Source organism: Homo sapiens, chromosome 7 (assembly GCF_000001405.40).
Source record: "Homo sapiens chromosome 7, GRCh38.p14 Primary Assembly".
NCBI lineage: Eukaryota > Metazoa > Chordata > Mammalia > Primates > Hominidae > Homo > Homo sapiens.
The window spans coordinates 138,102,680-138,125,692 of record NC_000007.14 but is presented as its reverse complement, the minus strand read 5'-3'; the positions used below and the strand labels follow the sequence as shown (position 1 = coordinate 138,125,692).

Sequence of the window (23,013 nt, the reverse complement as noted above, 5' to 3'; positions counted from 1 at the left end):
AACCATGTGTGACTCAGATCATAGTCACATCTCACTCAGGGCTTAATGTGTTCTGGGGGGGGTTCCAATAGCTTTTAAATTTTATTTATCTCCACGCCCTGAAAGTCCCTGTTGCAGACATCTCTTATTTTGCCTGCTTCTTGGGGCAACGTATTTCTGGTGATTGAGGCAGGATTGTAGTTCCTTATGATTCCTTTCTCCTTAGTGCTGCTCTTGTTCCACTCGCTCCTACCCTCTTGCCTTTCCATCCCCCTCCCACTGTCTCTCTCATTCCTCTCTTGCTTCTTCTCTGCACAGGGATGAGTTTATGTCTCAGGCCCTTCCATTCAGTCTGCCCCAGGCCATCACCATTGGTTCCAGCATGATGCATGTTGGCCAGTCAGAGTTCTTCCCAGGATTACTTCCTTGACAGAGCTATTACCAAAGACTCTCACTCTCTTCTGGGTTCCTAATCTGAGTGAAGGAGAGTGTTGCTGAGAGCTATCTTGCCTGCTTTCATGCCTGCTGTCTGGAGACAGCTAGTCCAACGGGGTGAAAACAGTCACAAGTTGTAAACACACTGCTTGAGCCCTAGTTCTAGCTGCTTACAGCCACTTTACCCCTGCACTTCTTTGTTTCCAGTTCTGTGACAAAGTGAATTCACTATTTCTGCTTAAACTAGTCTGAATTGCATTTCTATTACTAGGAACTAATAACATCCTGATGGAAAAATCGCTATGTGGAAGTGGGGCATAACAAGTGAATACTCCTGAAAGTTAGAATTGACTGAGTTAATTTGGGTGAAGCATAATGGGAAACACAGTCCTCACTGGGAGTCTGGATATCTTTTCCACTATTTTATAACAATTCATATTTTTTCCAAATATGAGCAAATATTTTAATTAAACATGAAGAGAAAAAAACAGACTTTTAAAAGTATGCAGAAAAGGATAATTAACATTGGATCCCTTGTAAAAATGGAACCTCAGGGAGTCTAACAAAAATGCAACTTTGGCTAACTTTTGCTTTTTAAAATTCCTTGTTTGACTTCACCTCCCACTGCACAGGAAATGACAGCTTCTGGGAGACGGGTGGAGTTGCAGGAGTCCCCAGGAGCATCAAAGGGTTCAGGGGTTGTATTCTAGCAGTTTCTTTCTTTTCTTTTTTCTTTTTTTTGAGTTGGAGTTTCACTCTTGTTGCCCAAACTGGAGTGCAATGGCGTGATCTCGGCTCACTGCAACCTCCACCTCCTGGGTTCAAGCGATTCTCCTGCCTCAGCCTCCCGATTAGCTGGGATTACAGGCATGTGCCACCATGCCCAGCTATTTGTTTGTATTTTTAGTAGAAACGGGGTTTCACCATGTTAGCCAGGCTGGTCTCGAACCCCTGACCTCAGATGATCCGCCTGCCTCGGCCTCCCAAAGTGTTGGGATTACAAGTGAGCCACCGCAACCGGCTCTAGCAGTTTCTTGATCTTCTCTTTCCTGGTCTCACTTTCATCTCGCACTATCACCAAGGAGTGTGAGTAGCCTATGGAGACCTGCTTTGAAAAGATGCCATTCAGAGTCTTCACCTCTTGGGCTGCAGTGGAAGACTTGGGCTCATGGTCCCTGTATCCCAATTACCTAAAGGTTGGTTATGGCCCTCAGCTGATGGTGTTCTCATTGGCGGCCACAATGTTGCTGCTCTTCCCACAAGCCAGGCTCTGGATTCTGCAGCCGCAGAGGTCCTGCACTGCTTTCAGGTACATGGAAGATTCATGGGAGATATTGGGCTCCCCCAGAAAAAGAGACTACCAACTTCACAGACAGCAAAGGACCAGGTGTAACCAACATGGATCTGGGATGCCCCACACCCAAGGAAGTCAGACTCCAACCTCACCAAGCGGGGACCATCTCATCCTTCTGCTCTGAGTGGCCCAGTCAACCATAGCCACCAAAGCCCCAGGAGAAGACTCATTTCTTGGAGTCCAGAATCAATGTGTGGTTAGCATTACAGGTCACGTCTTACACAACCGTTATTGGCTGGTGGGTTCTTGACCCTTAGTAAATAGAAATAGACCAAGAATCTGAGATGGGCTTGAGCAAGGCAGTTTATTGGAGCTCTCAGCTTGAGCAGAAGGGGAGGTAGCAGCAGGAAGAGACCTGCAGCTAGCTCCCTGACTGCAGGTTAGTTTGGGGTTTCATTTGCTTTGGAGCTCCTCCATGTGACATCATTGCATGTTTGGGGTGGTTTGGCAGTTGCACCTATGCAGTCTCTGGACATGCTTCTTCATGTGATGCATGTCTCATTAGCATCTTAAATCTCCACCCAGGGGTGTGCTTTTTACTACTGAAATGAAGCAAAGGCCAGGTTAGGACAGGCTAGGACATTACTGGGCAAGTGCATTGGGGAGCATCTTTTGCAAAGTGCCCACTGTTAGCCAAGATGCTTGTGCTCAGAATACTCTGTCTCAGATTTGATTGGTCTATTTTGTGAAAGGAAACGTTTGTGGTTGTGTGGCTGCAAGGTTGAATGTAGCTTCAGTCAGCACAGCATGTAAGGGAAATGGGGAGGGGTCCCTGCCTTGCTCTGGGGGTCTCACAACCACCTTTGGTACAGGCAGAATCTACCCATCTTTCATTCTCAGTGAAGGTGGGCCACTCATCGTGGCACCAGCACCAGCTCACAGCCTTAACTATTCACTGTGCCTGGGTCCCAGCTGACCACATTGAGGGCACACGAAGGAACAGAGGTCTCCTTTGTCGCCCATTATACGGAATTCATTTCCACTGGCCATTCTAGTAATTGGCTGCCCGTTGTCCATGATCTGTGCGGTGCTGGGGATGCTCCTGCGTGGTTGCTGAGGCTCAGCTGCCCCATCTTGTTCTCCCCAAAGGCAAACGCAGAGCCCGTTTCCGTCAAGGCCAAGGTGAGGTTCCGCCCACAGGCTGCCTACATACTCACTTCCCGGCAGAGACCCGCAATGAGTCTGGGGGCTTCCATTCTCTTGGTGTCACCAGGTCCCAGCTGCGCCTTCTTATTTTGACCCCAGCTCCGCAGCTTCCATCGTGTCGTGATGAGGATACTGTGCGCAGTGCGCAAACCCGAGACCGCTGTCCGCACCAGGACCCCGCCAGGCACCCACATCTATGGGGCCCCCACAAATTCTGACCGAGATTGAGGTAAGCAGCTTGCTGTTTAGGCACTTCTTTTCCACCCATCGAGTCCTAGTTGGTTGACCCCGAAATCAAAAACTGCCCCTTTGCACTTCGACCCTTGAAGTCTGATGCGCTCCTTGGTGTGCTCAGACTCCGCGACGACCGCGGCCCCGCCGCTCACCTTGTTCACATATGCAGCCAGCCACGCTGTGCCCTTGCCTCCGCCAGGGCCCCATGGAGCTGCCACAGCGCTCGGCCTCTTGGGCTTTCTGCCCGCACGCTGGGACCTCCACGCTTCCCGGGCCGCCTGGGGCCCCTGTGGTTACCGAAGCCCGGTTCTTCCCAGGCTACTGCCCAGTCTTCATCCTGGGCTTGTCTCTGCTGGTTGGAGTTATGAGAAACCAGACAGAAAAAGGAAGAGAAGTAACTGTTAAAAAAAGACGGATAGAAGGGCTTCCCCCTACACCCCTGTCCCTTCCTCTCCTCCCCAGCACCCCCCAGCACTCCCCACCAGACCAAGGCTCCAGCCCATTCACCAGATTCACTTAAAGTGTAACTTATATTTTGGAACTTGGACCATGTGTCTGCCAAGGCTCAGGCTTTGGTGCTGGGTTAGAAGATTGTGCTGGATGCTTCCTGTGGCCTTCGGTGAAGTCCTTCATAAAGGAACCAAGTTTTGGTTCAAGCCTGGAGTGCAGAAGGCAACGAGGGAAGAGAATGTGGCCTTATTAAGAAAGTCTGATCTGCTTTGAGCTGAATCAGGCAAGCACGTGCTGTGCAAAAGGAGAATTTTGCCCCAAGCTAGGCAGTTAGTACATCTAGGGAGGGCAGCCGGAGCTCAAGCCGAGATTCTGAAGAATCCAAATAGGAAGCCAGGGGGATATAGCTCCTGCCAGAGGAGATATGACCCAACAGAAAAAGCCTTTTACCAAAATGCCCTTTAGATGAGAGAGTAAGCCTATTAGTTGGGCATCACCCTCTCATCCTGTTTCTCATGAATGGGAGGCAGAGACTAGGGTGGAAGAAGCTAAAGTGAGAATTTGGGGATTTCATGTGTAGAGACAGAAACATTAAGGCTACTATTTGGATTCAGGGAGGATTCTGATTCAAGAAGAAGACATTGAAGTTAGCAGAAGCCTGAAATTTTGAGAGTTCTGAGAAATATCAAGTCTTAGAAATATGAGTTTGTTTATCTTTGTTAATCCCTATGACTGTGGCTTCAGAATGCACACACCTCAAAGTGTTGAAGGCTGAAGACAGGATCATTGCCTATGCCCCTCTAATGGCCTCTCCTGGTGCTGTGTTGTTACTGTGGACGGAATGACAATGCCTGAAGGAGGCCCTCTTGGAGAACTGTCAGGGATAAGAAACATTTTTTTTCGTGTCATGTGGGTAATGTGCTGATGTTATAACAAGGTTTAAGGGTGGCACGCCTCACACATGCACATGAACACTCAGTCATCACGCTCATGAACTACAAAAAGATCAAGAAACATTCCTTTTTTTTTTTGAGTGGAGTTTCACTGTGTTGCCCAGGCTGGAGTGCAGTGGCACAATCTCGGCTCACTGCAACCTCCGCTTCCCAGGTTCAAGTGATTCCCCTGCCTCAGCCTTCCAAGTAGCTGGGATTACAGGGATATGCCACCATGCCCATCTTATTATTTTTTTTTTTTTTTGTACTTAGCAGAGACAGGGTTTCCCCATGTTGGTCAGGCTTGTCTCGAACTCCTGACCTCATATCATCCACCAGCTTCGGCCTCCCAAAGTGCTGGGATTAAAGGCGTGAGCCATTGTACCCAGCAAAGAAACAGTCTTATCAAGAAACACTGCAGGTCCAGAAACATTCTGTGCACTGGGCCAGGATGTCCTTGCCGCTCCAGCCCGGTATGTTTCTGTGGACCAGTGAGCATGGCATGCCGTGGGTCTCCTCTCCTTTTTCAGGCAGGTTGCATCACTATTGACGGATCTTTCTACATAGCTGATCAGAGGCCATTGATAAGAAAAATTGATTTGGGTTAACAAACATCTTTTTGGGGTTGCGTAAGTCCCCAAAAGATCAAGATTATTGGTTGTCAATACTTGGGCTCAGTAAAGCATTGATTTGGCAAGGCCATTTTTACAGCCGATGTTAACTGGAGAGACAGGAAATCCTTACTGAGGGATGGTGTTTTCTTTTGTAAAACTGCTATAACTAAGTACCACAAACTGGGTGGCTTAAAGAACAGAACTGTAGTGTTTCACAGTCCTGAAGGCTAGACGTCTGAGATAGAGGTGTTGGCAATGTTGATTCCCTCTGAGGGCTGAGGTGTAACTGTTCCATGCTTTTTGCCTGGTTTCTTGTAGTTGTTGGCAATCTTTGTCATTTCTTACCTTGTAGAAGCATCACCCTGATCTCTGTTTTCGTCTTCACATGACATTCACCCTGTGTGTTGTCTGTGTCCAAATTTCCCTTTTTTATGAGGACACAGTCTCATTGGTTTAGGGTTCACCTTACTCCACCCTACCCCAGTATGATCTCATCTTAATTAATTACATATGCAGTGACCCTATTTTATTTATGTTTAAGAGATGAGGTCTTGCTTTGTCATCCAAGCTAGAGTGCAGTGGCATGATCATAGCTCACTTCAGCCTCAAACTCCTAGGCTCACACAGTCCTCCTGCCTCAGCCACCCAAATAGCTGGGTGCTATGTGTGTGCACAACCAGCCATGTGTACACAACCATATCCAGCTAATTTTAAAATTTTTGTAGAGATAAGGTATCACTCTGTTGACCAGGGTGGTCTCAAACTCCTGGCCTCAAGTGATCCTTCCACCTTAGCCTCTCAAATAGCTGAGATAACAGGCAAGAGCCACCACACCTGGCCCTATTTTTATATAAGATCACATTCTGAGGTACTGGGGTCTGGGCTTTTTAACATATGAATTTTGAGAGGACACAGTTCAACCCATAACAGATGGGAAGCTTGAGAGGGGTGACAGTGGAGGGAGAAGGAACATGCAGAAGCTTCCATCAGACTGTTGTTCTTTCCTGACCTTCCTACTTTCTGTCTCCAGATCTTTTTCCTCCATCTCTGTTATGACTAAGAGAGGATTTCGCTCCCCCAATTTTTAGAAATACCTTTTCGCTGACAAATGATGGGACTCTTTTCCAATGTCTGTCTTTTAAAAATGCTTCGATAGGTGTTGTTTCCATTCTCACCTCTACACTAATACCCTCAAAGTATTTTTAAGGACTTTCACAACAGGGACCAGGACTCAAGTTTCTGCTCTTTCATAATGGTACCACCTTTTTCTTCTTCCTTCCTCCCTCCGTCACTCCTTCCATACCTCCCTCTCTGCCTGCCTCCCTCCCTCCCTCCCTTCCTTCCTTCCTTCCCTCCTTCCTTCCTTCCTTCCTTCTTTCTTTCCTTCCTTCTTTTTCTCTTTTTTTGAGACGGAATCTTGCTCTGTCGCCCAGGCTGGAGTGTAGTGGCATGATCTCGGCTCACTGCAATCTCCGCCTCCTGAGTTCGCGCCATTCTCCTGCCTCAGCCTCCCGAGTGGCTGGGACTACAGGCGCCCGCTACCATGCCCGGCTAATTTTTTGTATTTTTAGTAGAGACAGGGTTTCAACATGTTAGCCAGGATGGCCTCGATCTCCTGACCTCTTGATCCGCCCGCCTCGGCCTCTCAAAGTGCTGGGATTACAGGCGTGAGCCACCGCGCCCGGCTCCCTCCTTCTTTTTCTTTCCCCTCCCTCCCTCCCTCCCTCCCTTCCTTCCTTCCTTTTTCTTTCCCCTCCCTCCCTTCCTTCCTTTCTTTTTTCCTTCCTTCCTTCCTTTTTCCCCTTCCTTCCTTCAATCTTTCCTTTTTTTTGAGACAGAATCTCACTCTGTCACCCAGGCTCGAGTGCAGTGGCACAATCTTGGCTCACTGCAACCTCTGCCTCCCCAACCCAAGTGATCCTCCCATAGCAGCCTCCTGAGTAGCTGGGACTACAGGTGTGTGCCACCATTCCTGGCTAATTTTTGTATTTTTTTTTTTTTTTTTTTGGTAGAGATGGGGTTTTGCCATGTTGTTCCAGGCTGGTCTTGAACTCCTGGGTTCATGCCATCCACCTGCCTTGGCCTCTCAAATTGCTGGTATTATAGGCATGAGCCACCACATCCCCTTTTCTTTCCTCTCTTCCCAGTGCTAAATGTACAGCAGGATTAAATCAAAGGCCTTTTAACTGGCTTCAGATGATTCTTCCCCTGCCCCAACCTTAGAAACAGAATGGAGATTCATGTGATGCAACAAATCATTATACTTTATTATTTCTTGTGAACAAAATATTTTCCAGAGGTCAGTGTTATAAGTAATAATATTGGAATCAGTGAAAACAATCAGTATAGACCAAATTTTTTAAAATGATAATTTCTCAAAAATATATGTCTTGAGGTCATTGAACATTATCTATAAGCAACTGATCTTGGGAAAACATAATTTTTGAAGAACTCTCTCATCCTATGACAGTATGACAGTGACCTAATGTGAATGAATAAAATATATTTCTTTTCTTTTTTTTTTGTTTTTGAGACGGAGTCTCGCTCTTTCACCCAGGCCGGACTGCAGTGGCGCTATCTCGGCTCACTGCAAGCTCCTCCTCCCGGGTTCATGCCATTCTTCTGCCTCAGCCTCCTGAGTAGCTGGGATTACAGGCCCCCGCCACCGCGCCTGGCTAATTTTTTGTATTTTTAGTAGAGACGGGGTTTCACCTTGTTAGCCAAGATGGTCTCGATCTCCTGACCTCCTGATCTGCCCACCTTGGCCTCCCAAAGTGCTGGGATTATAGGCATGAGCCACCGCACCCGGCCAATAAAATATATTTCTGTAGTTGAATTGAAAATAGATATATCTCTATTGCTGAATTCTAATAATCTTATTCACTCTTTAAATTGTACATACAGGAAAATTACCAGAGTTCTTTTGAACTTGCTTTCTCAAAATTCATATAAAATTCTCAAAATTCATATAAGCTATCCAAGTAACACTATTAAAGTCTTAAGTACAATAATCTTATAAAGCACCTTGTTTCAATATATCTCCCAAGTTAAGAAGAAAAGCCAATATATGGCTTCTCTTTTACTATTTTACAAGGCAGGGTTTTATTTGTATATGTTGGTTGTTTCAAGCCTTTTCACGTAATAGTGGTTCTATAATCAATGTAGGCAAGATTGACAGTAAGATGTGTAAGTATGGATCAGCAGCCATGTTGAGACTCAGGCCCTTTAAGGATGCAAGAGAGATCCAGTTAAGTTTTCATTCCTCAGGTTGGATAAAAACTAAACATACATACATTGGAGGGAAACAAACACCAACATTATGATGGCTTTGTTGACCACTGTGGTGTTTAGCTCTATTTTAAGACTTTTCTACATGTAGCCCTCTCAACTCAAGGTGCAGCAAATCACTTCCTTGTTAATAATGTGTGTGTGGATCTTATCTTGGCTGTGTCTGTTTTGTAACCAATGGTCCAAAGCCTCAAGGCCACTGCCAGCACACTGCCACATGCACTTCGTTGTCCTGTTAACCCTTAAAGAACTCAGATTACCAACGCTACTACCCAGATTCATAAATTACTTGTTGTCATATGTTGCCTTTGATGTCTTTTCTGAAGTGTAATTTTTTTCTGTCTGGAATCTAGAAGATACTGATCTGAAAAAATTAGTTGATAATTTCCTAAGAGTTATTTCAACAGATTTTAATATTTTTACTTCAATGTGACTGAGTCAAAGTCATTTACACTGCACAAACATTAAACATGTTTCCATCATTATTTCTTCTCAGGATGGTAAAACCCTCTCTCTTCATTTTCACATCTAGGGGACTACCCATTGCACCGTCTTGGCACTCGTGGGAGTGAAAAATCTGTTCAGGAACTCCCTGCAGTCAGTATTCATCATGAAATGGGTATTCAGGATGATCGCGCCACCTGCCAAAACAATTCCCCCACAGAAAAAAGTTCACTCAAAAATTGCACAGCTGTATGTTTCAATAGCATCCTTTGAGAATTTCACTGACCACTACCCCTCTCTCCTATTCATTCCTCTGCTGTTTCTTACCTACTTTCCTCTTCTGTTTTCCCTCAAGCCAGCACCTTTTCCTGAAGCTCTGGACAGCCTCCTGAATGTGAGTGTGTTGAGGGAAGGTTGGTGGCCACCTTATCAACATTTTACTCAGAACAGAATCCCCAGTGGTGAATCATGTCTTAGGCATGTCATGTGCACATGCCTCTTCCCTACTCCTTCCCCCTTTCTGTTCCCTTGACGCTGGCTGCCTCCTTCTCCAATCCACTACATGGGCATTTCTCTTCAAAACTCTTATTACCAGTGTCACCCTCTGCTGATTAGCATTTTTTTCTTCTTTTTTTTACAGATGGAATCTCACTCTGTCACTCAGGTTGGAGTGCAGTGGCATGATCATAGCTCACTGCAGCCTCAAACTCCTGGGCTCCCAAGCAAGCCTCCTGCCTCAGCCTCCCAAGTAGCAGGGATTATAGGTATGTGCCACCACGGTTGCCCAAGCTGAACTCCTGGGCTGAAGCAGTCGCCCTGTCTCGGCCTCCCAAAGTGCTGGGACTATAGGTGTGAGCCACCACACCCAGTCTCATTAGCATTTTTACTTGCCCCTCTCACTAGACCTCCTGCGTGTTGAGAGTTTGAGATCTAGAAAGGTGATGAGTAGCAAAATAAGTTTGCTGGATGATTATGACGATGATGATGGCAGTGAATTTAGCTCTTAAATAACAATGATGAAATGGTCTGTAAAATGTCTGGAATGTGTGTGTTCCTGATTTAGTTTTCTGCATGTACTGTAAATTAAAATGGAAAATATTAAGATTTTCAAATGTTAAAAATCAACTTGATAAAAGCTGAAAAAAATCATGGTCCAATATCTCTAAATGATACAGTATTTGTGATTAATGGGGCCTAATTCTTGTTCCACCTTGCTGATTTTTCTAGTTATTTCCTGGTAAGAGTTATTTTTTTTTCCCCGAAGTTGCTAGAATTGCTTTTAAATATGTCAGATGTCAAACTGAATAATGTCACCAACTGTCTGTAAAACAATTAGTACATTGGTGGATTGATTATACTGTTTTTGTTTGTTTGTTTTTTGTTTTGTTTTGAGACAGGGCCTTGCTCTGTCTACCAGGCTGGAGCGTAGCCTTAGCTCACTCAAAGTCTGGGGTCCAAGTGATCCTCCCACCTCAGCGTCCTAAGTAGCTAGTACTACAGGTGCATGCCACCATGATGGCTTATTTTTAAATTTTTTGTAGAGATAGGGTCTTGCTATGTTGTCCAGGCTGGTGTCGAACTCCTAGCATCAAGTGATTCTCCTATCTTAGCCTCCCAGAGTGCTGGAATTACAGATGTGAGACACTGCACCTGGTTTCTCTTCTTAACTTAATGATATATTATTGATTCAATAGAAGTCATTTATCTTCAAGAGCTATTAATTAACCTATAACTGTTAGTTCTAGGAAAGTGTTATTTATGTGTTTATGTTTACTCTTTTGTTCTTGAGGTTGGGTGGTGGTGCCTTTTGATGTCAAACAATTTTCCCCCTGAAAAATTTCCATTAGGAAGTTGTTTTATTAATTCAGAAATTCAATATTAATCCAGTCACTGTACTTTCTGACCCATGAAAAACAGTAGGATCAGTAAAGTAAGTGTCCAAACTATATGAATCATCTTAGCATTTTCTGAATGTTCACTTAAAGATTCAAGATGAAGATGAATATTCAGGTGATTTGAAGAACTGGAAACATTAATAGAGAATGATTAAGAAGAAAAAAATGCATGTGTGTGTATATGAGTATATATATGTATATGTGTGTGTATATCTATACACACATATATAGCAAATATATTCTTTTTTTTTTTTTTTTTTTGAGATGGAGTTTTGCTCTTGTTGCCCAGGCTGGAGTGCAATGGCATGATCTCGGCTCACTGCAACCTCTGCCTCCTGGGTTCAGGCAATTCTCCTGCCTCAGCCTCCTGAGTAGCTGGAATTACAGGCAACTGCCACTACACCCAGCTAATTTTTGTATTTTTAGTAGAGACGGGGTTTCTCCATGTTGGCCAGGCTGATCTCTAACTCCCGACCTAAGGTGATCCGCCCACCTTAGCCTCCCAAAGTATTGGCGTGAGCCACCACGCCTGGCCAAAACTATATTCTTTTTTAAAGGGCCTGTAATATTTAGAGAATAAAGAGCTACTTCAGTTGGTTAGCTGAACTTGACATTTTGAAGGAGTATATGGAATTTTGCTTGTAGGAAGTCAGCTAATAGGTAGAGCTGGAAACTAAAATCTTAAGTATTTGTCTAAAAGTCTAAGTTCTTGGTTTCAATCTAGTGCTCTTTCTACAACATCATCATGCCTCTCCCTTAGAAATTTTTTTTTATAACTTTGCTCTAATTTGTGCATCACTTTCATTTTTAGGAATAAATAAATAAGTTGTTTCAACATTTGTGCTGCTGTTGTTTTAGCATATGTACATGATGAATTAATTCTCCTCAGGTTCCTTAGCCTGCATGCCTTCACCGAAGTCACAAAATGTCACAGATGCCAGGACTCTTCTTTTCAGTGAGAGTGTAGGGTTGTGGAAGGCCCTGTAGTGGATGTATTTCCCTCAGGCATGTTAACATTCAGAATATGCGGCCCACCATGCTTTGCCCTGGTGCTATGGACATAGGTCAGGGTTCTTATGAGCCTTGTTGCTTGACACATGACCATTCAATACCACTGGTCAATACCCATTAATGATCCCCGGAACTTACATGAGCAATTCTACAAAGCGGACATTTTTATTCAAGGCTTCAATGTCCTTCATTTCTTCTTCAGTGAGAGAAAAGTCAAAGATCTGAAATAACGGAAATAATAGAACATTTTTGAAGGTCAAGCTTGGGATCAGAAAGTGGGGCCACCGGTGGGAGCCTTCCAAAGATGTATGAATATCTCTGCAAATGTCTAAGAGGAGTCAGGCTGGTGTTGGGGGGCTACCCACTGAGGTGGAGCTGGATACTCTGTTCTGCCCTTTGTTTTTGAGACGGTCTTTCTGGGGACATCTTACAAGAAATTCCAAATGCTCTGAAACCACAAATGTTAATGAAATCCCCTAAAATTTCAAATGTGAAGAATTCTTATTTCTGTATGAAATGCTGGTCTTTTGATTCTGAACTACTGTCTTACACTTAAAAAATTCTGAGTCTCTAAATATGATTTTTTTTTTTTTTTGAGACAGGGTCTTACTCTGTCACCCAGGCTGGAGTGCTGTGGTATCATCTTGGCTCACTGCAACCTCCACCTCCTGGGTTCAAGCTAGTCTCATGCCTCAGTTTCCCAAGTAGCTGGGACTACAGACATGTTTTGCCATGCCTGGCTAATTTTTCAATTTTTGTAGAGATGGGGTTTCACCATGCTGCCCAGGCTGGTCTCAAACTCCTGAACTCAAGCGATCCTCCCACCTCAGCCTCCCAAAGTGCTGCAATTACAGGCATGAGCCTCACCACGCCTGGCCTAAATTTGCTTTTTAAAAAAACTTTTAATTTGCTTTGTTTTTAACTTTTAATTTGCTATGTTGAAATCCTTTCTCTCATTTTTTATGTCTCTTCTACCTTTTTATTCTAATTACATTTCCATTGTTTTATTTTTCTTAGATTTTATACTTTATTTATATTCTGGTTTTATGATTGTCCCTTATTAACATTTATATATATTTTTTCACTTCCTTTTATTTTTAACATTTGGATTATCTGTATATAACCTATCTTCTCTTTATTATTTTATCTTTCTATCCTTTAACTTTTAATATATTTAATTATTAATAGATTTTAATTATATAAGTAGTACATAAATATACGCTCTTTGCAAAGAAATGAAACACTGTAGAAGTACATAGACCCATATGGAATAAATAATGAAAATCTTGTCACTCATCACCCCATTCTTATTTCCCTTCCCAGATATTCCTCCCAAATACTACACACATTAAGAGGAAAATGCAGTAATTGGACCATATCTTTATGATTCTACAACTTTCCTTTATTCACATAATATCTTAGTGACCCCAGTGATAGTTCTATCACAATATGCAACCTGACTTTATTCATTTAGCCATGGTATTCATTGTGTAGATGGAACACGATTTACTTAATTATCCCTCCATGGATTCTTTCCAAGTACTCTTTTCAGGGAACCATTTTCTTTTATGATTTATTATCCAATTATTGGCATTTATGAGATTACATAAGGAATCAAAAATGTGCACAATATAAAAATGAATGAATCGCCTATAAAATGAATCCTTACTCAGACTTCTTTTTTGCTAAACACTAGTCCTCTCCTTTAAGTCTTGGAGGATCAGCCTCTTATCCAGTAAATATATGGAATAATCTAATGGCAAAGTGAGGTTGCAAACCTTGCAAAGATGCAGGATTTTATGAAATCAAAGAAAATGATCTTGGAGATTTGTTCTAATTATAGGTATGATCTTTTTCAAAGAAGAATCCTGCACAGTTAAAAATCTACTTTGATAGATATGTCAAAAGAGTGTGACTTGAAAAAAAAATTAAAGAATTAAAAATCTCCTTCAGATAAAGCCCTCCAAAATTTTTGTGATAATTATTCTCTTTATGAACATTCTGCAAAACTTTTGTGAAATAGAGGATGTCATGTTGTGGTATGTAATTTTGTCAAGCATATTTAAAAAAAATCAACACTGATTCACTGTTTCTTCTGAGTTAATAAACTTGCAATTGTAACCTACATTTTGTTGAGAATAGAAGTGAACTTACTTTCATAAACTTTGGTTTCGATCTTAATATAAGCTTTCAAATTCACCCTCTCTACATTATTTCTGTGTCATGTTTTTTCTTGTCGTATGTGGATTAATTTTCAGTGGTCTTTTTTTTCTCCCATGGCACAAATTATCCTAAGTGAATGAGGATCTCATATTACAAAACTGAGCTCCTGATAGTTCTTCTCAAACTGCTTCCCCTACAGTTTTCCCTTTCAGTAAATGTTTGAAGAAGGAGATATTGTTAACTGTATCAGATGTGGTTGAAAGACCAAGTGGGACAAGGACTGAGAATTACTGGATCTAGCAATGTGGAGGTCACTGGTAACTTTGACAAGGGCTGTTCCAGTGGGATGGTCAGGGTAAAAGTTTGGTTTGAATGGCTTCAAGAGATAGTGGGGGAAGGGAATGGGAAGCAGCGAGAACAACTTCTCTTTCCAGATGTTTGAAACAGAAGAGAGAAGTGGATAATACTTGGAGAGGAAAGTGAGTCTAGGTTGGATTTTATTTTTTAAGATAGGAGGTTACTACATATGTGAATGTTGGTGGGAGTTACACAGTAGAGAGGAACAATTGCTAGTGTAGGAAAGAGAGGGGGATGTTTGAAATTGAGGCTATGGAGGATTTATTAGGAAGTTGTTATTGCAATTTCCAAGGGCTAGGCATGGGAATTAGTGGCTGAAATATATAGGACAAGATTCTTATGGGAGAGGAAGTCAAAGAGCTGTCGGATAAGGGTGGAGAACGACTGGTGTGGATGTTGAATTCACTAAGAATTATGAGAGGAAGAGTGTTGGAGAAAGTGAAAGTGAGCCCAGAGATAACATCTTCAAAGAATGGAGGCCAGTGGATGATGGCAACAAAGCTGGACCACACCTGGTATAATTTCTTTTTTTTAAAATTTTAACTTTTAAAATATCCTGGCTCCGTATTAGCTTTCTTCATGTTTACCTTTAATTTTATCTAGTTTTTAAACTCATGGTTTTTTGTTTATTTGTTTTGAGACAAAGTTTCACTCTTGTCATCCAGGCTGGAGTGCTATGGTATGATCTCAGCTCACTGCAAACTCCGCATCCCTAGTTCAAGCGATTCTCCTGCCTCAGCCTCCTGAGCAGCTGGGATTACAGGCGCCCATGACCATGCCCGGCTAATTTTTGTATTTTTAGTAGAGATGGGGTTTTGCCATGTTGGCCAAGATGGTCTCAAACTCCAGACCTCAGGTGATCCACCTGCCTCAGCCTCCCAAGGTGCTGGGATTAGAGGAGTGAGCCACCGCACCCAGCCTAAACTGATGATTTAACTTAACTTTTTTTAATTTTAAAGCAATGGGATCTCGCTTTGTTGCCCAGGCTGCTCTCAAACTCCTGGTCTCAAGCAATCTTCCTGCCTCGGCCTCCCAAAGTGCTGGGATTACAGGTGTGAACCACTGTGCCCAGTCTTAACTTTTTACTACATAGTTTTTATTTTCTTTTGCTTTTCTTTTTTCATCAAAATATTTATTTTTCCCTTTATTCTTTATGCTTTATTGATCTTTGCCATTCTTTTAAAATATTTCTAACAGTTTATTTTACCTTCATTCTAAGAGAGCATAATTTATTATTTTGTTGCTCCTTGCTTTCATACCCAGCAAAATTCATGGTTATTGGGTGAGTCTATTCCCTAAAGAGTGAGAATTGGCTGTGATTTTCATTCTCATTTTCCTTCTAAATCTGTATCCGTTTTTTTCTTGGAATATGTGACCTCTGAGTTCCATTCTTTTATTATCAAGGCTATGGAAACATATGGAATATAACATAATTAGTTACAATGAAAATTTCAAGGAGAGTGGCATTTTCTCTGGTACAAAATTGCGATTTGCTAGATGCTATAAAGTCCAAATGCTTTCCATCGCAAAGGTCACTTGTAACACTCCTATAATTTTTGAACAGCAAAATTTTCAGTCCTCAAAAAGTCCATCAAAATGTGTTTTAATCTTCAATGAGCCTACACATTAGTAATGCAGTTGATCTCTTTCTAAGATTGTGGAAAAGAGTGTCAACCACTTTTTAGGATGAGGCATTTTGGCAAATGTTATTGTCAGGAGTTGATGTAACTATTCAGCATCTTTTCGCCTTTTTTCTTTTTACGAACTTTCCTTCCCCCTTCTAGTGGAGCTGTCTGTTAACTTCTTCAGCACAGGAATAGGGATATAGCCCTGGGGTCAGGGTATCCTACTCAGTGGCCACAGTGGGTAATATGAGGGTGACCTTCAGGAGCTAATCAGGGATTGATAGAGACCCTGATAGAAGACTTTGTTTCTGATCATCTTCACTCTTCACTGAGTATGAGTAATTGATTATCCTGGAGCTGTTAGGAATTGTCTGTGCCACCATGTGGGTGGAGAGAAAGGAGGGAGAGAGAGAGAGGACTAAATCTCTTTATAAATCATTTGAGTACCTGTGTCTAGCCATTTCTGATCTACTCATGGACTTTCCAGTTATGCAAGCCAATAAATTATCTTTTATTTTTTGCTAAAGTTTGAGTTGCATTCTATCATGTAGCAAAAAAGCTCTGAAGATGTAATTGTCTAATATTGTGGCTATCTTCCTATGTCAGTACTTGTATTTTTTAAATGGCTATATGATATTTCAGTGTACAAATATGTCATAGCTTGTTTTATAAAATCCTGTTGAAGATTGTTTTGAGTTTTTAAAAAATTACAAAGAATTCTATAATAAACATCTGTCTGTGTGTGTGCACCCATGTATATATGTGCAAATACATCTATAGGGTAAGACTGCTGAGTCAATGGATAAGTGTATTTGAATTTATTTAATTTGACAGATAACATTGTATGTTTTTATCATATACAACATGATGTTTTGACATACATATAAATTGTGGAGTGGTTAAATCTAGCTAATTAACAAATGCATTACCTCATATAGTTATCATTTTTGTGGTAAGAGCACATAAGATGCACTCTCTTTATGTTTTTCAAGAATACACTATATCATCATCAACTATAGACACCTTTTTGTACAATAGATCTCTTGACATTTGTTCCTTCTAACTGTAATCACAACTTTTTTGACCAACATCTCCTCATAGCACCCTCCCTTCAATAATCTCAGCCTCCGGTAACCACTATTCTACTCCTTACTTTTATGTGATTAACTTTTTTAGGTTCCACATATAAATAAATCATGTAACATGTACATTTGAATTTTGATGGACATGAAATAATTTAACCTACTCTTCCATATCTCATACAAATTAATGTTTCTAACAATAGTGTGTCAAAGCGCCTGTTTCCCCAAATATTACCAAGTATTTTGATTATTTTCTGATATGAAGGGACAACTAGTATCTTACTTTTTATTTATCTTTAATTATGAGTAGGGCTAAACAGGCAATTTACTTTTGAAATGTAAATTAGCTAATGGGTAATTAATTAATTTTGTATGGCACTTTTCTATGGTTGTGTTTACCTAGCAGTTTAGTCTTTAGTAGTAGCGGAATAAATGAATTACCCCTTTGTCTAGTTCTTTCTTCACTTGGAAGTTACAACGTAAGTCATAGATTACTTATAGAGGGAAGTAAAGGCAATTAGCATTCATGAAGTCTAAATGGTCCTCTTCAATAATTTTCAAATTTGTCCTCAACTTTTACCAGAGCCATTAAGAAGGTGGAAAGTTGACTATTATGAATTCCAAATTTTATTCACTCAATTTCTGTTGTGCTGGTAGAGAAGTGAGTAGGTAGTGTCAAGGGTCAATAGATAAGGGAAGAGGCTGGGTACAGTGGCTCACGCCTGTAATCCCAGAACTTTGGGAGGTCAAGGTGGAAGGATCGCTTGAAGACAGGAGTTCCAGACTAGCCTGGGCAATATAGCAAGACCCTATCTCTAAACAAACAAAAAAAAAATTTAAAACAAAAAATAAAAAGTAGATAAGGAAAGAGAAAATATAAGAGATCTGGATAGTGTACAAGTAGCAAAGCAATCTCTGAAGTACTAGCAATTGTCTCAAATTGAATGAAAATTAAACCTAGATATGGGCTACATGGGTCAAGGGGCTGGTATAAAATAAAATATGAGAGTGTTACAGGTTTCCTATTAAGCTGAACACATTCTATAAAAGCAAAAATAGCAAACATACCCATCTTTTCACATCTCCAAAAGCAATTCTCTTACCTGAAAATTTTCTTTGATCCTTTCAAGATTAAAGCTTTTAGGAATGACAACCACCCCTCGCTGGATGTTGAAACGCAAAACAATTTGAGCTGCTGTCTTATTGTACCTTTTCCCCAATGAGTTTAGAAGTGCATCCTTTAACAAAGGTGGAGAAGAAACATTCACCCTTAAAAATATCAAAACATGCATCATAATTAGTTTGCATAATGAGAACCAAAGGTTAATAAACCATCCTCCTCCTCTGTCTTCCCATTCACCCAGTCACCTACCAGGACACTGCAGGTCACCTGTAACCAGTTTCTCTGAGTGCAGAGTATGCACTGAATGGAGAGTTACTCGTAGTATGGGAAGATCAAGCAAGGCAAGTTTATGGAGCTGCCTCCTTCAGAGGGTAAATAATATTTTTTGATGAGTCTTATAGAGAGAGCTGGCATACAGGGAAAGGTAGGAAGACTGAAGTGGAAGAAATAGAGACACAACTTTTGGAATCATCTTAAAGTAGAAAAATTTCTACTTAAGTTTATGGAGCACATCATAGTAGAAGTATCACTATTGAATACAGAGATCAAAAGATTGAAAATTTGCAAAACATGGCCATAGAAACTCCTTTGTCAAATAATAATTAAACTAACTTTTACTGAGCATTCCTATATATCAGGCACTGATAGGCAATTTCATACCTATAATGTAATCAATTTTACAACAGCTCAGTCAGGAAAGTATGAAAAGTTCTAATTCATATATACAGATAATGACTTGAAGAGGTTGCACAGGCAAACCAAAAGGCATTCCAATCAAATACAGTAGTTCACATGAGCCTCACACTCTACACCAAAGGAAATGCTTCCTAAAGTTTTACTTACCAGATTGGATTCCTACTGGTCCCCAAAGGGCTATATGCAGTAATGACAATGTCATGTTGTTGGCAAAATTTCAAGAGTTTTGGCTGGGTGAAATACGGATGGCACTCAACCTATGTGGTTGCATTGGAGAGCAGAGCACAAAATCAAGGCCACGTTGTTGAATGCAATTGTACTGTTAAAAAAAATTCTTCAATAAAATCCATTTTATTAATAGAATCTCCTTCATACTATATACATTTCGTGTCCTAGTCTGTCCCTTCATATCTTGTTCATTTTGCTTCCTTAAAATGGATTCAAGAACATCTTTTGTTAAGATTTCACATAATATGAATGTCTTGTAACTTATTTAATCATCCCCTTAATTTTTTGTATTATGTTGTTTCCATTTTTTTCCATTATGAACAATGTTGTAGTAAACACACATCAGTCTATCTAGGCATTCTGATATTTTTTTATTAGCATAGATTGCAGAAATAAAGGACTGTGAACATTTTTTAAGGCCCTTGATACATATTGACAAATTGTTTTTTTAGTAAGGCTGAACCAATTTGCACTCACTAGCATTTAATCACTTGCCTACACGGGGGCATTATATTTAAAAATATTAATAAGACAAAAACTTTGCTAATTTGATGTGCAATAGAAAAATCACACTTCAATTTAAGTTTCTCTAATTAATAGTGAGTTTTTTTTCATGTGTACCAGTCTTGCAATTTGTCTTTCGTGAATTTCTGTTCATTCCTTTTACTCCTTTTTCTGTTGAGCCTTAGTGTTTTTTCTCATTTTTTTTCATTGATTTTCATTAGATTTTTTTTTGTTGTTGTTGTTGTTGTTAGACGAAGTCACACTCTGTCGCCCAGGCTGGAGTGCAGTGGCGCAATCTCGGCTCACTGCAACCTCCACCTCCCGGGTTTAAGCAATTCCCCTGCCTCAGCCCTGAGTAGCTAGGATTACAGGCATGTGCCACCAAGCCCAGCTAATTTTTGTATTTTTAGTACAGACGGGGTTTCACCATGTTGGTCAGGCTGGTCTCAAACTCCCGACCTCGTGATCGCCTGCCTCGGCCTCCCAAAGTGCTGGGATTACAGGCGTGAGCCACCGCACCAGGCCCCAAGTCCGTTTTTTAAAGTGACACCAATAGAAAGAAGTCTAAAGACTTGCACAGGGTCCCATGATGAGATTTAGGTGGAGCAATCATGAGCCTTCCTGACTCCCAGCTGAGGCTTCTTTGTGTCATGTAAATCCTGCCCCCACTCCCCACACCCTAGTGGAAGCTATTAGGCTGTACCTGGTTGCTGACTGGCTTGTGTTTGAGTCCTGGCTTGTTCAGGATGAGCTCCAGCTGCCTGCGGTTAAAATTGGACACTCCCAGGGATTTCACCAAGCCAGCGTCTTTGCAAGCTTCCATCGCCTGTAGAGTAAATGTCCACAGGTCAACAAACAAGCCTCACAAGAAGCAAGAATGAATGTTTATAAGGGTGACTGTGAATTCTTTAAAAAGGAAAGTTCCTGGGTATGTTAATAAGCATCTTGCGAAAAAAAGTAAAAGAAGGATGGTGGGAAAAGGCAGTAATTCTATGATTGAATTTGGAAAACATGTGTATGCCATATCTTCCCCTTGTATTTTCTCAAGGTATTTACCACACTTTAGTGATCCCAGGTAGGGCGCGATGGCTCACACCTGTAATCCCAGCACTTTGGCAGGCCAAGGCAGGAGGATCACTTGAGGTCAGGAGTTCAAGACCAGCCTGGGCAACAGAGTGAGACTTCATCTCTAATAAAAATCAAGAATTAACTAGGCATGGTGGTGCATGCCTGTAGTCCCAGTTACTTAGGAGGCTGAAGTAGGAGGATCCACTTGAGCTGGGGAAATTGAGGCTGCAGTGAGTTATAACTGTGTCACTGCACTCCAGCCTGAGCAACAGAGTGAGACCCTATCTCAATTAAAAACAATTTTTTAAAATGATCCTACTTCTTGAAATTTTTGGGTACTTTTTTTATGGCATAGTACCTGGGCACTTTTTTTTTTTTTTTTCCGAGATGGAGTTTTGCTCTTGTTGCCCAGGCTAGAGTGCGATGGCACGATCTCGGCTCACTGCAAACTCTGTCTCGCAGGTTCAAGCCTCCCAAGTAGCTGGGATTACAGGCATGCACCACCACGCCCGGCTAGTTTTATATTTTTAGTAGAGATGGAGTTTCACCATGTTGGTTAGGCTGGTCTCGAACTCCTGACCTCAGGTGATCCACCTGCCTCAGTGTCCCAAAGTGCTGGTATTATAGGCATGAGCCACTGCGCCTGGCTGGCAATTTTTATAAACATTCTGGTATATGTGAAATAGATACATTCTCCCATTTTTGGATGTAACACTCTGTCTCTCCTCTCTCTCTCATACATATATGTATGTAAATATACATACACACATGTTATATATAAAATTAGGTCTAGCTCTTCTTGGCTTCTCAGTAACTGAAATTAATATGTCAAAATTAACAGAAGGAATATGTCAAAAACTGAAAGGAATATGTCAAAAATCTCTTACTATACTGGTGATTTATTAATGTTCTTCTGTGTTTTTTTTTGAAACAGTATCTTGCTCTGTCACCCAGGCTGGAGTGCTGTGGTGGGATCTTTGCTCACTGCAGCCTTGACTTCTGGGCTCAAGAGATCCTCCCTCTTTAGCCTCTTGAGTAGCTGGACTACAAGCATCTGCAACCACACTGGCTAAATTTTGTTTTTAAAATATTTTTTGGAGATGAGGGGGGTCTCATTATGTTGCCCAGGTTGATTTCAAACTCCTGGCCTCAAGTGATCCTCCTACCTTGGCCTCCCAAAGTGCTGGGATTATAGGCATGAGCCAATGTCCTCCTGTATTCTGTCAATTTTTTGTTTTATATATTTTGAAGATACTTTATTTGATATATATGTGCTTAAAATTAGTATATCTTTTTGGTAAATTCAATCTTTCATCTTCACGCACAACTCTTTTTATCCCTAATAATGCTTTTAATTTTTAAGTCTGTGTTATATGATATTAATATAGTAATACCAACTTTTTCCGGTATTTGGTGAGTGTGTGTTTTTTTTTACCTGTAAAGTTTTAACTTTCACATGTCTTTTTGCTTAGGTGCCTCCTTTTAAATTGTCAATCTCTGTCTAGGTGAGTTTATTTTATCTACATTTATTGCAACCATACATATATTTGAACTGTTTCTACCATCTTGATTTATTTCAATTTATCCCACTTATCCTGTTTCTTCTTAACTCTTTATTACTTTTAAGAAGTTTTCTAATAAAGACAATAACTTAGCATGTTCACACGGTATTTATCTACCCTCAACATCTGTGATGCTAATAGTATATATATAAACTTTAATTGTAGCGTATTATGGGTTCATTTTCCTTTTATTATTTGATCTTAATATTTTTATAGATAATACACACTTTAAGTTTAATTTGATCACTTTTGCTTTATGCATTTTTTTTGGAGCATCTGTTAGATTTTTGTTCCTTTCACTTAGTACATCAATCGGACCTAATGATTTCCAGTGTGAGTCTTTATGTGGCAAAATTTCTGAGCATGTGTAGATGTGCAACTTTTTATCATGCATTATTTTTGCCTTCTAGTTTGGTGAGTTATAACTGATGTACAATAAACTACACATTTTTGAAGTGTACATTTTGAGGAATTTTAATGTGTGCATACACCTGTAAAATCATCATTACAATCAAGATCATGAACACCTCCAGTGGAATACTGATAAATGTTTAACAACCAGCTATCCAGGAAGAAAAAAGCTCCCCAGTTTGTAGTATTTGAGAATGTCTGTGATGTAACTATTCACACCGGGCTATTCAAGCTAACAACCCGACATCACTGAATGTGGAGTTAGGAAGAGGTTTGCACAACGGGTTCTTGCAAGCTGGTATGGGCCAGTTGTAGTACAAGATTACCCTTCCCCATTGAATTGCGTTGGCATTTCTGTTGAAAATCAACTGACCATATATGTGTATGGGTCTATTTTAACATTCTCTATTAT

At 40.9% G+C, this 23,013-nt stretch overlaps 1 protein-coding gene, 2 non-coding genes and 1 pseudogene across 6 annotated transcripts in view; all 4 read right to left on the bottom strand.

Annotated features, from left to right (window-relative positions):
- RCC2P3 (regulator of chromosome condensation 2 pseudogene 3) lies at window positions 1,437–3,365 on the bottom strand (annotated as a pseudogene).
- On the bottom strand, window positions 1,872–1,935 carry MIR4468 (microRNA 4468). Its single transcript, NR_039678.1, has one exon. It is a non-coding gene; the product is annotated as a microRNA 4468 (primary transcript).
- LOC124901828 (small nucleolar RNA U13) lies at window positions 4,502–4,605 on the bottom strand. The gene has a single exon (XR_007060664.1). It is a non-coding gene; the product is annotated as a small nucleolar RNA U13 (small nucleolar RNA).
- AKR1D1 (aldo-keto reductase family 1 member D1) overlaps window positions 7,388–23,013 on the bottom strand; it is a 41,847-nt gene continuing 26,221 nt past the window's right edge. For 2 of the 4 annotated variants that reach the window (NM_005989.4, XM_047420763.1), the window contains 5 exons: window positions 20,264–20,386; window positions 18,976–19,085; window positions 18,113–18,278; window positions 11,921–12,003; window positions 7,388–9,073 (listed from right to left, as the gene is read on the bottom strand). In NM_005989.4, the coding sequence (NP_005980.1) occupies window positions 9,031–9,073; window positions 11,921–12,003; window positions 18,113–18,278; window positions 18,976–19,085; window positions 20,264–20,386 (525 nt within the window). In that variant the 3' untranslated portion in view covers window positions 7,388–9,030. The remainder of the gene's footprint in view (window positions 9,074–11,920; window positions 12,004–18,112; window positions 18,279–18,975; window positions 19,086–20,263; window positions 20,387–23,013) is intronic. The other 2 variants (NM_001190907.2, NM_001190906.2) reach the window with 2 other exon arrangements.